The following is a 14,020-nucleotide window of genomic DNA, read 5'->3' as shown; positions in this document are numbered from 1 at the left end:
CCTATCCACTTAGCATCTTGGCTGCCTGTAGAAGCCAGTACTTTGGCAATATTCTGTCTTTTGCATAGTAAAAACCTTCATTTCATTCTCACTAAAGTTTTGTGACATTGCATGCTCAGTGAAACTATGTAAGAGATCAGAAATCAGTGGAATAGGATTTTTGACAGGATAGTGGTTTCCTGGGGCATTATAAATTCATAATACATGTATTTTTAATTTTCAAAGCTGGAAACAATTATCTAGTGACAGTGTTCTGATCTATTTCCAATATTATAAAACGATAAAGCTAAATTAGTGGCCATTTGTGTCTGCTTCGGGACAGCGTAAGTATGTTTGGGACAAACATGACTATATCATTGTTTATTCATATAAAACAAAGTAATTCTATTTAAAAAAGACAGTATATTAAAGACAAATATCTGATATTTCCTCCACAATATTTTAGTATTTTAAGCTCACTGTCAACACTAAGAAGCAAGTGAAACGTCTGATTTTCACATTTGCAATATAGATATGTGTCCTGCGTGCTTTTAGGAAGGCATGACTCTAGCAAAGTGTTTCCATTTGAGTATTAAATGAAAACATGTTGGTCAGTGCTTAAGAAGTTGAACTGACATTAGAAGTTGTGATCTGATATTATGAATTTTGATAGATGGGTTAATATGGAAACAAAACATCCCTAAATGCATTTGTGTTAATAACTCTGAAACGTTTGTATTCTCTATTTTAAACATTTTATTTATTTTTATGTTTTCAGGTTTGCTATTAGAAAGATAATGCTCTTGGAATTTAGGTAAGTTATAAGGCATTCCATTGATGAAAGAGATAATGTGATTTCAGTTTTAGCTAAATTTTCTGTGTTATTTCTGTGAGTCACTAAGAAAATCTAAATTTGTGAAGATTTATATTTCTGTGATTGGCTTATTTTGGAATATGTATATGATAGCCTTTGTTTTCAAAGATGATGGCCCATTGCCAGAATAGCTTGTGTTTTGATTTGTTTCTTACTTGTTAAGCTAGCATGTGGTGAATAATTTCTGAACTCAAACTTGGTTTCTGTAGTGATCAGTGGAAATAAATTAGAGTGTGTTCTATAGCCACTTTTTCTCCCTGCCAAGCTAAAATGTTATCATCAAGGTAACATTGTTCCAGTCTAGCTACTAGTAATATAAATATTTCAGACAAAAGATAATGTATGATTTTTAGATTGCAAAGGTAGATTAGATTATGTTGCAACCAGATGTAGCCAGTATGCTGAAAATAAGAGCCAGGATTGTTGTTGATGATAGTTACATTTACCATTTCTCAAACAGAACACCAGTTTTGTGCTCACCACAGTGTTAAGCATTTTACATACAGAGTACTCACAACAATCCTGTGAAGTAAGTACTATCCTCTGTATTTACTGGAAACAGAAGCTGAGATCAGAGAGGTTAAATTCTTTGCTCTAAGTAATTGGCAGAGCTGGGATACCAATGTCTGATGCCAAAGCTCATGGTTTTCCACTTCTCTACACTTCCTTGACATCTGGTTTACATCAGAGGTCAGGGCCTCTGTGTTAATAATTGTTACTCCTACATACACATTTGATCCTTACAAAAAAAATGACATGAAGTAGATGGTCTTATCGTTTTTCTAGAGGGAAATTGAAATTTATTATTATGAATTAACTAGTAAGTTGAGTGCCTCCTGTATCCTAAGGACTGTATTATTATTAAATGATCTTATTTAATCCTGACAACAACACCAGTAAGATCTTCCTTATTTTGTAGGGGAGAAAACTGAGGCTAGAAACTGGACCCATCTCGCCCTGAGATAAATATGCTCTTTCCATCATATCGTGCCTCCTTTCAAGAAGACAGATTAAAATCAAGAGGCTACCAATATGCAGTTAGAATTAACCAGAATTCTAGAGTCCAGAAACCAAGAGAATGGCAGGAACTGAAGGAGAAAGCAACAAAACAGATTGAAAGCATCAATGACAGTGAATTTTTTTTTTTTTTTTTTTTTGAGACAGTCTCGCTCTGTTGCCAGGCTGGAGTGCAGTGGCACGATCTCGGCTCACTGCAACCTCCACTTCCCGGGTAGAAGCGATTCTCCTGCCTCAGCCTCCTGAGTAGCTGGGATTACAGGTGTGCGCCATCACGCCTGGCTAATTTTTGTATTTTTAGTAGAGACGAGGTTTCACCATGTTGGCCAGGATGGTCTCGATTTCTTGAACTTGTGATTGCCTGCCTCGGCTTCCTAAAGTGCTGGGATTACAGGCATGAGCCACCGCACCCAGCTGACAGTGAAAAATTTTTAATAGCTGAAAAAGTCAGTTGTTACCTTTCAGGAACTCTTATTTAATTTTATGTGACAATATCATTTTCCCTGGGCCAACTTCCAAACATAACCAGTCTAAAGTTTGTTGTAGAGAGTAATTGATGGTTTCTTGCTAAACTGGAAAGTAAGATGGCATGGAGAAGGTAGCTGGATATAGGGAAGTGAACTGAGAAAAGGGTTTCCATGGATGAAAATCATTAGAGGAAGGCATTATTTTATATCAGTATTGTATAGAATTTGCTGCAATTGCTGAAATAGGATCAGGAAGTTATTGAACAAATCCTTAAGTCTGAAGAAAAGAGATGTAGTTTGGAGTCAGGACCATACCTGTGTAATCAGGCAAATCATTGACTCTCATTACCTCAGTTTTCTCATCTAAGAGATTTTAAGATAGGTTTGGAATTTGCTGTGTAGTCAGATAACACCCAAGATAAGACTTTACTCTTAAAAACTGTGGCAAGCCAGTGACATCTGTGGGACATCTGGCAGAAACAGTTATAAAGATACTCTGGAAGCATATGTATTCCAACTATACTGCAGAAAACTCTATAAATAAAACCTTGGTAAAGGTGAGTTTATACTCCCAAATTACAGAGCACATTAGGGTAATATTCTCTACTATAAGCAAGAGTGAACAGCAGAGAACAAATATTTCCCCCCTGCCCCCACCACCAAGAACTTCAGATAATTAAATAATTGATACACACTGTCAAGTCATTATGTTTAAAATTATTATTGGCATAAGAGAAGAAATATAATATGTGAGAAAGAAACAAGATACTAAAAATGGATAGACGTGGGGGAGGGAAATGGAGATAAAAAATCACTGAAATTTAAAAACTCAATTAGCAAAATAAATAACATGTTAGACGCAGGTAAAGAAGGAATTAATGAACTAGAAAATAGATCTGAGGGAATGAACTAGAAAATAGATCTGAGAGAATTAACTAGAAAATAGCAAAGAGGGCCGGGAGTGGTGGCTTACACCTGTAATCCCAGCACTTTGGGAGGCCAAGGCGGGTGGATCACAAGGTCAAGAGATCGAGACCATACTGGCCAACATGGTGAAACCCTGTCTCTACTAAAAATACAAAAATTAGCTGGGTGTGGTGGCACATGCCTGTAATCTCAGCTACTCAGGAGGCTGAGGCAGGAGAATTGCTTGAACCCAGGAGGCAGAGGTTGCAGTGAGCCGGGATTATGCCATTGCACTCCAGCCTGGCAACAGAGTGAGACTCCATCTCAAAAAAAAAAAAAAAAAAAAAAAAGGAAAATAGCAAAGAGAAGTAAAAATGAAAAATACGAAAGGAAAATAAGGTATGTGGAGGCTAGAATGAGAAGGCTTAGTAGGAGTTTCAGAAGATTTTTTTTTTTTTTTTTAGTTTTGGAGATGGGGTCTCACTCTGTTGCCCACATTGGAGTACAGTGGCACAGTCATGGCTCACTGCAACCTCAACCCCCTAGGCCCAAGTGATCCTCCTACCTCAGCCTCCTGAGTAGTTGGGACCACAGGTGTGCACCATTACACCTGGCTAGTGGTTTTTTTTTTTTTTTTTTTAATAGAGATAAGGTCTCACTATGTTGCCCAGGCTGGTCTCAAACTCCTGGGCTCAAGCAGTCCACCCACTTTGGCCTCCCAAAGTACTGGGATTACAGGTGTCAGCCACCACACCTGGCCTCATTTTGTTTTAGAACTGATGTTTGTCAGGTATTTTTGGGTTTTCCTTTTTTTTTTTTTTTTTTTTTTGTGACGGAGTCTCACTGTTGCCAGGCTGGAGTGCAGTGGCGCGATGTTGGCTCACTGCAATCTCCGCCTCCCGGGTTCAAGTGATTCTCCTGCCTCAGCCTCCTGAGTAGCTGGGACTATAGGCACACGCCACCATGCCCAGCTAATTTTTGTATTTTTAGTAGAGATGGGGTTTCACCATGTTGGCCAGGATGGTCTCGATCTCTTGACCTCATGATCTGCCTGCCTCGGCCTCCCAAAGTGCTGGGATTGCAGGCGTGAGCCACTGTGCCTGGCCAACTTTTACTTTAAGAAGAGCCTTAAAGTTAAAGGCCCAGTGTAGTGGCTCATGCCTGTAATCCCAGCACTTTGGGAGGCTGAGGTGGGTGGATCGATCCTGAGGTTGGGAGTTCAAGACCAGCCTGACCAACATGGAGAAACCCCGTCTCTACTAAAAATACAAAAAATTAGCCGGGCGTGGTGGCACATTCTTGTAATCCCAGCTACTCAGGAGGCAGAGGCAGGAGAATTGCTTGAATCCGGGAGGTGGAGGTTGCTGTGAGCCAAGATTACGCCATTGTACTCCAGTCTGGGCCACAAGAGCAAAACTCCGTCTCAAAAAAACAAAAAAAAAGCCTTAAGTAAGGGAATATCCGGTGGTTTGGTGGTGATAATTATGTATGTTGGCAACGTTTGATACCTTTTTATTTGAATTTATAGGACTGTCATTCTCCAAAGCTGTATTTTCTATATATAAATTTGTAGCTGGTAGCAGTGACCTAGACTGCAGGTAAATTTGTGGAGGATTCCAAGTTTTTTTTTTTTTTTTTGAGATGGAGTCTAGCTCTGTTGGCCAGGCTGGAGTGTAGTGGCGCAATCTCAGCTCACTGCATCTTCTTCCCGGGTTCAAGTGATTCTCCTGCCTCAGCCCCCTGAGTAGCTGGGATTACAGGCGTGTGCCACCATACCCAGCTAATTTTTGTATTTTTAGTAGAGATGGGGTTTCACCATATCACAACTCCTGACCTCAAGTCAGGAGTTGACCTCCACCCGTCTCGGCCTCCCAAAGTGCTGGGATTACAGGCATGAGCTACCACACCCAGCCAAGGATTCCAAGTTATAAATAGAGATTTCCAAAATATTTTCAGAAAGTTGTAAATAATTATGCTTTTCTGGGTGAGTTATGTATTACAGTGAGTGGTGGTAACTAATGAAGTATTCTATGCTTTTTACTCTTTACAGCCAGTATCTTGAAAATTATCTCTGGATGAATTATTCTCCTGAGGTATCTAGCAAGGCCTATTTAATGTCAATCTGCTGTATGGTGAATGAGAAGTTTAGAGAAAACGTGCCTGCATGGGAGGTAACTGATTTAAAGTACTTCATAGCTTTCATACTGACCCACATAAGCCATTACAAAGTGGCAGAACTTTTACTGATAGTGGTGCTTTTAGAGCAGAACTTTACCCAGTAATAAAGCAAATATTGAGAAAAAGAATGGGTATGTGAAAGATATGTTTTCTTTTGGTTTCAATACTTTCTTCAAACGATTTAATAATTTACTATGAATTGAAAATTTATGAATGTGAGTTATTTTTCTGCTTTGTGTTTGAAACAAAGAATGGTATATGTTATAACAACTTACATCAGGAGCTGGCAAAATGGAAATTATATTAATAAGTACAAATAGGCTGAGTGCTGTCACTCATGCCTATAATCCTGCACTTGGAAAGCTGAGGTGGGAGGATTGCTCGAAGCCAGGAGTTCAAGACCAGCCTGGGCAACAAAGCAAAAACTTGTTTCTTTAAAAAAAGAAAAAATTAGCCAGGCATGGTGGCATGAGTCTGTAGTCCCAGCTACTTGGGAGATTGATGCAAGAGGACCACTTGAGCCCAGGAGTTCGAGGCTGCAATGAACTATGATTGCACCACAACACTCCAGCCTGGGTAACAGAGCGAGGCCTGTCTCTAAGAAGAAGAAAAAAAAGCACAAGTATATAATGTTCAAATGAGATATTTTTCAGTGTCTTTTTTCACAAGAGGGAGTTTATTTTTATTTTTTTTGTCTTATTTTTATTTTTATTTATTTTATTATTATTATTATTATTATTATTTTTTTTATTGATCATTCTTGGGTGTTTCTCGCAGAGGGGGATTTGGCAGGGTCACAGGACAATAGTGGAGGGAAGGTCAGCAGATAAACAAGTGAACAAAGGTCTCTGGTTTTCCTAGGCAGAGGACCCTGTGGCCTTCCGCAGTGTTTGTGTCCCTGGGTACTTGAGATTAGGGAGTGGTGATGACTCTTAACGAGCATGCTGCCTTCAAGCATCTGTTTAACAAAGCACATCTTGCACCGCCCTTAATCCATTCAACCCTGAGTGGATACAGCACATGTTTCACAGAGCACAGGGTTGGGGGTAAGGTCACCGATCAACAGGATCCCAAGGCAGAAGAATTTTTCTTAGTACAGAACAAAATGAAAAGTCTCCCATGTCTACCTCTTTCTACACAGACACGGCAACCATCCGATTTCTCAATCTTTTCCCCACCTTTCCCCTCTTTCTATTCTACAAAACCGCCATTGTCATCATGGCCCGTTCTCAATGAGCTGTTGGGCACACCTCCCAGACGGGGTGGTGGCCGGGCAGAGGGGCTCCTCACTTCCCAGTAGGCGCGGCCGGGCAGAGGCGCCCCTCACCTCCCGGATGGGGCGGCTGGCCGGACGGGGGGCTGACCCCCCCCACCTCCCTCCCGGACGGGGCGGCTGGCTGGGCAGAGGGGCTCCTCACTTCCCAGTAGGGGCGGCCGGGCAGAGACGCCCCTCACTTCCCGGACGGGGCAGCTGGCCGGGCGGGGGGCTGACCCCCCCACCTCCCTCCCTCCCGGACGGGGCGGCTGGCCGGGTGGGGGGCTGACCCCCCCACCTCCCTCCCGGACGGGCGGCTGGCCGGGCAGAGGGGCTCCTCACTTTCCAGTAGGGGCGGCCAGGCAGAGGCGCCCCTCACCTCCCGGATGGGGCGGCTGGCCGGGCTGGGGGCTGACCCCCCCCACCTCCCTCCCGGACGGGGCGGCTGGCCAGGCGGGGGGCTGACCCCCTCACCTCCCTCCCGGACGGGGCGGCTGGCCGGGCGGGGGGCTGACCCCCCCACCTCCCTCCTGGACGGGGCGGCTGGCCGGGCGGGGGGCTGACCCCCCCCACCTCCCTCCCGGACGGGGCGGCTGGCCGGGCGGGGGGCTGACCCCCCCGACCTCAAGAGGGAGTTTATATTTGTAGTTTTACATGAATAAAAAAAGTTACCAAAGTCAAGACAGATGCTTACATTATAATTTCAATGTTCTTTTGGTTTTTTGTTTTGAGACTGAATTTAGCTCTTGTTATCCAGGCTGGAGTGCAAATGGCGTGATCTCAGCTCACTGCAACATCTGCCTCCCAGGTTCCAGCAATTCTCCTGCCTCTGCCTCCCAAGAAGCTGGGATTACAGGTGCCCGCCACCATGCCCAGCTAATTGTTGTATTTTTAGTAGAGATGGGGTTTCACCATATTGGCCAGGCTGGTCTCAAACTCCTGACCTTAGATGATCCACCCGCCTCGGCCTCCCAAAGTGCTGGGATTACAGGCATGAGTCACTGTGCCTGGCCTGTTCTTTTTGTCCTTGATTTGGGATCTATTTTTCCTTTTAGAAATTTCTAATGCACTGATGTTTCCTTTTTGTGCTGGTGCAACAGAAGCTTGATCAGTAGGGATCCAAAATCTTTGTTTTCTTTGCCCGCCATATAATGGTCACTTCATCAAGAGTTTCTTCTCTTCCAGTCAGACTTTTTTAAATGAAAAAAAGGAATGGATGCCTGTCATCTGTTTTGAGTAAATGGTCACCAAAGTGAAAAGGTGATAGAGTCTTTAAGATAAAACCATGGACACTTATCTCAAATATTCATTAAATGACTACCATCTCAGGGCACATTAGAGCTCAGAATAAACTATGGGTTTTATGTCACTATCAAGAGAGCCTAGGGGTTTCTTCAAGTTGCTTCAAGCTATTATAGAAATACAGAAAGGAAGAAGGAAAATTTTTTGAGCCAGGGAATAACCTGGTCAGTTTACCTGTTATAAAGATCACTTTGGTGATTAGGCCTTGAAATAGAGAAATGATAATACAGATTTAGAGGATATACAGAGATGTAGAAGGTAGAATTGATTGAATTTGATAATCAGTTGAAGTAGCATTAGGAAAGGGTGTTATTTTCAATAACCTTCCAGGCTTGGGCAAATGAATATAATATATGATGGTGCCATTTACCAAGATAGGTAATAGAGAGTGAGGAATAATTTGGAGGATACAAAACTGTTGAATTGAATTTGGACATATTCAGTTTAAATTGCCTTTGGAATATCTAGATTAAGTCATCTAGTAGAGGAATCTAAGGTTTGAGAGCTCAGAAGAGAAATCTGGACTGCAGATGTATATTTGGAATCATTGGTATTTAGTGGTTGAAGTAATAGAGGGAGAAGAATGAGGCTAGAACCCTACGAATATTGCGGTTTAGATAACAGGCAAAAGAAGAAGAGCCTTCAATATGGTGAAAAGGAGTTGAGAGTTAATAAGGGTCCATAGGACTTGACAGCCATACAGCTTCAGGAGAGCTTGTCTTAGAGAAGTGAATGAAAACAACTAGTATAGACCACACGCTTGGAGCATTTGTCTGTGGCAGTAACTAGAAACAGAGGTAGGTCAAAGAGGCTTGAATATATTTACATTATTTACAAGTTAAGAGTAAAGAGCTAATATAAAGCAGGAGGGGCTGTTCTTGAGATTAATTACAGTGTGAAAACTACAATTTTTGCTAAAGATGTAGTTTCTTTTGTTTAAATCAGAGAAATTAAAACACTTCAGATCCTTAATAAGAAAACAAAGCCTAAGCTAAATACAGGCATAATCCACAGAGGAAAAACTAAAGAAATGAAAGCCATTATTTTATTAGCTAAAGGGTTCTGCAGCTCTCTCATAGTCCTGTCAGAAACCTGTATTTGACTTGCCATTAATTATAAGTAAGCACGTGATGCTTCTTTTATACATATACAAATAACCCTTTTGTAATTATTTGGTTTTTTTAATAGACTGCTAAAAAGCCTACTAGGGCTTCTTTAAAGCTTAAGTGAGCAAGCCAATACAAAATGAATTTTATTCTGTTTCTTTTCAGATTTTTAAGAAGAAGCCAGACCACTTCCCATTCTTTTTTAAACACATCTTGAAGGCGGCATTAGCTGAAACTGATGGTGAATTTTCACTTCATGAACAGACAGTCTTACTACTTTTTCTTGATCATTGCTTCAATAGTTTGGTACTTTTACTTTATATTTTGGGGTAATTTTCAAGTTTTCTTGTTCTTTTAGGTTGAGTTTAGATGAAATTACCTCTGTAGCCAACTCCATTCATCCATAATAGCAGGCAATAAGGATAATGCTAAAAGCTTGATTTCAGCCACTTATCAGTAAAACCATTTTATAAGTCTTTAAGATATGTTTTTATAAGATATGTTCACTTTTTAATAGATTTGAAATTGATACTTAATTTTTTCTATCTAGACTCTTAAGAAAAATGATTATAAGAACTGAAACTCTAAAGGGAGAGCACAAAAATGAGAAGCAGCAAGGAGACTGGTTATATGGAATTGGAGTAATGAGATCTGTGCCACAAACTGCATATACATACAGGAATGTAGTTTCATTGCTTTTCATCATGCCTTATGCATAGGCTGGTTAGTCAACAGGAGAGTTGTATTTTGAGTTGACTGATAAAGGCCAAGTGTAAATGATCTTTGAAAATGTCTTGTGTGTGATACATTTTCATCCTTCATAAGATTATCTTCTAAAAAATTAAATATTTTCAGTAATATTTTATTTGAGCTTTCCTGTGTGGTTAGCTGATAAATACACATATTTATTTAGTGCCTCTGAATTGATAATTCACTTACACCCATGCAGGAGGAATGCATGGAGTTCTTTCTTATTCTGAAGACTGAGTGTTAATAGATGGATGATTATTACCTGTTTCCATGTACTATCTCACATGGATCTTTTAAAGGCATAAAAAAAGATTTATGATGCCTGCACTGGATACCACTGTTATCTCTTTAACATTTATTTTTATTTATTTATTTATTTATTTATTTATTTATTTATTTTGAACATAAACTCAAGATTTTATTGTCTTCATAATAAAAGATGACACTTAGAACTGAATCACTTGGCCCTTTCTCTTCTTATCTCCTCCCAGTTCAAAATGCTTGCATCTTTTAATAGCCAGCATTCTCTTAGATCTGCAGTTGGGCTCAATGCACTCAAGCCTTAGCACAATCTTTGTAGTTTTAGCCTTTTTCCAGAAAATTGGCTTAGTTTGCCCACCATAGCCACTCTGCTTCCTGTCATAACGCCGCTTTCCCTGGGCATACAGAGAATCCTTGCCCTTCTTGTACTGTGTCACTTTATGGGGTTGGTGCTTGCCACACTTCTTACAGAAAGTCCGGCGGGTTTTAGGGACGTTAACCATGCTTGCGTGAGCGTTATCGGCACAGAAAGCCTCTTTAACATTTATTAAACTAAACAGAACAAATAGAAATATAAATAGATGTGATTTTTTTATCAGAAACTAAACAGAAACAAGATTTTATTAGTATTAGTAATTTGGTGATAGTTTTAGCCAACTTACCAAACTAGTTTATTATTGAAATGCTTTATCTTTTAAAATATGCAGTCAGTTCTTATTTGAGGTAGTTATGTTCATTTTATAAAGTAGCTATGAACATTGAATGAGCTAATGCTGAACCATTACTCCTTGGGGAAATACAGGGTTAGGTTCCTGCAAGCCTTGGTCATGACATTTTACAAACTATCAATACATAGCCTTATTTTATGTGTGTTTCTATTTAAAGACAGCTTATTTATTGTATATTATTGATTCATTAACCATGAACTCACTGCCAACAGCACTGTAATTATGCCTGAACGAAGCTTATCTAACATACGTATTTACTCTGTAAGACATATCACAGCCTTCTTGCACCCATGAACATCAGACAGCACTTCAGCCTTGGGCTTGTTGCCATTTTAAACAGCGAAATCATCAAAAAGCACAAGCGTGCCAAAAAAAATAGTACTCAATAGACCACAAAAAGGATACTTGTTTCTTACAGTATGAGAGCTGAGAATGAAGCAGAGCATCAGCTCAGTCTCACCTGAGAATGTGCACGTCGGACAACTCAGATTTTTGTTTGGGCCATCTGGATGACTGTGAAAGCACATGGAGTGTTGATTTTGGGGTTACAAATACATTTTTATTAGTATATGAATTTGCAAGTACAAAATCTGTAGATAATAAGGATGGAGTCTTTTTTAAAGCATTGAACTTCTTAATATCAAAATATTAACTTGAAAATATTTGTGGCATGTTTTCCCTCCAGGACTTAAAAAGGCAGTATACTTCTTATGTAAAGACTTAGGTAGAAATGCTGGTATGTTTATAAACTTATTTTCTTCATGCCCTAAACAGGAAGTAGACTTGATACGAAGTCAAGTACAGCAGCTTATCTCCCTCCCAATGTGGATGGGCTTACAGCTGGTAAGTCTCTAATTTCAGAGTCTTATGAATGTATGTGTTATAAGTAGAACGTGTGGTTTTAGTCTATAGCCTTAATCTGGATATACAAGTGGTAGCTAAATACCCCTTTTCTTAGAAAAGCCACTTTGCTTAACTTTTCATAGATATAGTTTTTATTTTAAAGTTTTTATATGCATTCGATGTTTAACTTAATTTTAGTAATATAAAATGAATAAGGTAGTATCTATTGAGCTTATAGAGAAAGGGGGTTAATTTAGCAAAGTATAGATGAGACTAAATGTGGACTTGAATTTTTTTTTCCTTGATTAGAGTATATATATAGCTGTAGGAGAAGATCTGGATCATACCTAATATTAATGACTTCCATTTTTCCATAAAGTCTTTATTGGGTAATATGTGCAGGTACCAAAGCCAAATTAATACATCTTAGGTAGTTTAGTTAAAACTATCAGATTTCATTGTAATGCTTTATTCAGAATTTCCCTTCCTGCACATGGGTGTTTCTGCATATACTCAGATATGCAGACTCATTTATAAGCACCAGTTGATGGGGATGAAAACATAAGGCACGTATAAATAATTAATACTAAGTTAAAAAGTGGCAAGTGCTATAAGAGAGAATATGCTGATGTGGACATTTCCTTATTTACTTGTGATCGCTGTTTTTTGTGCATTGTTTCAGACTCATATTTTTCAAACCTTAGTGATTATGCTAAGTGTTGATGCATATATTTTTCAGACTTAGCTCTTTAAGTTTTGAAATAAAAAATTAATTGATTATTGAGCTTACAATCTTGATTTGTATTTTTATTAACAAGAGCTAGAGTTGAATAATTTTTTAAAATATCGTTATTCATTTCTTAATTTTCAGGGTTTGTCATGTTATTTTCAGGTTTTATCAGATTGCTCTATTTTGTACTCATATATTAGAAAACTAGCAAATAGTTGATCTAATCCTTATCCTTGTAAACTTTGAGGCTACTGGTAATTTAATAACACATCTCTTCTTCAGGCACGATTGGAATTAGAATTAAAAAAGACACCTAAGCTAAGAAAATTCTGGAACTTGATTAAAAAGAATGATGAAAAGATGGATCCAGAAGCAAGAGAACAGTATGTTGGCAGAGCTTCATTTCATGTTGGCTTATTATGCTGGATTGTGGACCTTAGATGATGTTGACTGGTTTGTTGTTTCCCTTTATATAGTGCTGAGTGCAAATAAATTATTATAATAAGTGCTTTTACCTAGACTGTCATTAAGAATATTTTCCACAAAGATCTAAAGCAGAAGCCAGAGCATCATGCTTTTCTTCTTTTCCTTCTTTCTGTGCTGCTAAGTATATATAGTTGACCCACTGTTTTTCTCCCTGCCTATTGTCCGTCTCCCTCATGGATGGTTCTCAATTTTCTCCACTATCTTCAGGCTATTAATATAACTTCTCTTTCTTTTTCTTACTCCTTCACTCTTTTTTTATTTTTTTGAGACGGAGTTTCGCTCTTGTTGCCCAGGCTGGAGTGCAATAGTGCGACTGTGGCTCACTGCAACCTCTGCCTCCCAGATTCAAGCGATTTCTCTTGCCCCAGCCTCTGAGTAGAGGGGATTACAGGCATGCGCCACCACGCCTGGCTAATTTTGTATTTTTAATAGAGACAGGGTTTCTCCATGTTGGTCAGGCTGGTCTCAAACTCCCGACCTTAGGTGATCCGCCTGCCTCGGCCTCCTAAAGTGCTGGGGATTACAGGCGTGAGCCACTGCACCCAGCCTAACTCTAAACTTCTTACAAGGTTTTCAGAAGCTTGCAGCTGTTTCTTGTGACTCTTGCAAATCACTGGACTACTCTAGTCATTGCTTCTTTAGCATTTCTTTCCTAAGTCCCTTTCCTCTTCACTCCACTTAATTGAATATTAACCATATAAACACTCTTCCAGACCAACTACTTTAGATCATAGTGCTTTCATCTGAACTCCTAGAACACATGCTCTGTGATTTTTTTTTGAAACACCAGCTGTTTATGTAATGATTGGGATATGTATAGTAGTTGAGGATGTAGGTTCTACAATCAGACTTAGCTAGATTCCACACTCAATTGCTGTATGACTTTGGGCAAGTTACTTCACCTCTAAGCCTCATTGTGAAATCTGGACAGTAGTACCCATTTCCGAGGACTGTTATCAATATTAAATAAGATGTGAAGTGTTTAGCATAGCTCAGATCCTGGCAAAATGCGTGCTTAATTAATGTCAGGCAGTTTTATTAATCACATACTGGCATGTATTACTAATTGTGTTTATAATATATGACTTGTTATTGCAAGTAGATTTTAGCCGTTCCCCTTCTTTGTATTTCCAGCAGG

The 14,020-nt window shown here is 39.4% G+C and overlaps 1 protein-coding gene and 1 pseudogene across 1 annotated transcript in view; one reads left to right on the top strand and one right to left on the bottom strand.

The window, feature by feature from the left end:
* AQR (aquarius intron-binding spliceosomal factor) overlaps window positions 1-14,020 on the top strand; it is a 117,961-nt gene that overhangs the window by 16,065 nt on the left and 87,876 nt on the right. Inside the window, exons 4-8 of the mRNA NM_014691.3 lie at window positions 758-793; window positions 5,294-5,414; window positions 9,250-9,390; window positions 11,598-11,666; window positions 12,679-12,779. Coding sequence (NP_055506.1) covers window positions 758-793; window positions 5,294-5,414; window positions 9,250-9,390; window positions 11,598-11,666; window positions 12,679-12,779 — 468 coding nt within the window. The remainder of the gene's footprint in view (window positions 1-757; window positions 794-5,293; window positions 5,415-9,249; window positions 9,391-11,597; window positions 11,667-12,678; window positions 12,780-14,020) is intronic.
* RPL36AP8 (ribosomal protein L36a pseudogene 8) lies at window positions 10,234-10,627 on the bottom strand (annotated as a pseudogene).

Source organism: Homo sapiens, chromosome 15 (assembly GCF_000001405.40).
Source record: "Homo sapiens chromosome 15, GRCh38.p14 Primary Assembly".
Classification (NCBI taxonomy): Eukaryota; Metazoa; Chordata; class Mammalia; order Primates; family Hominidae; genus Homo; species Homo sapiens.
Note: the sequence above shows the minus strand (reverse complement) of the source record. Positions and strands in the feature narration are given on the sequence as shown.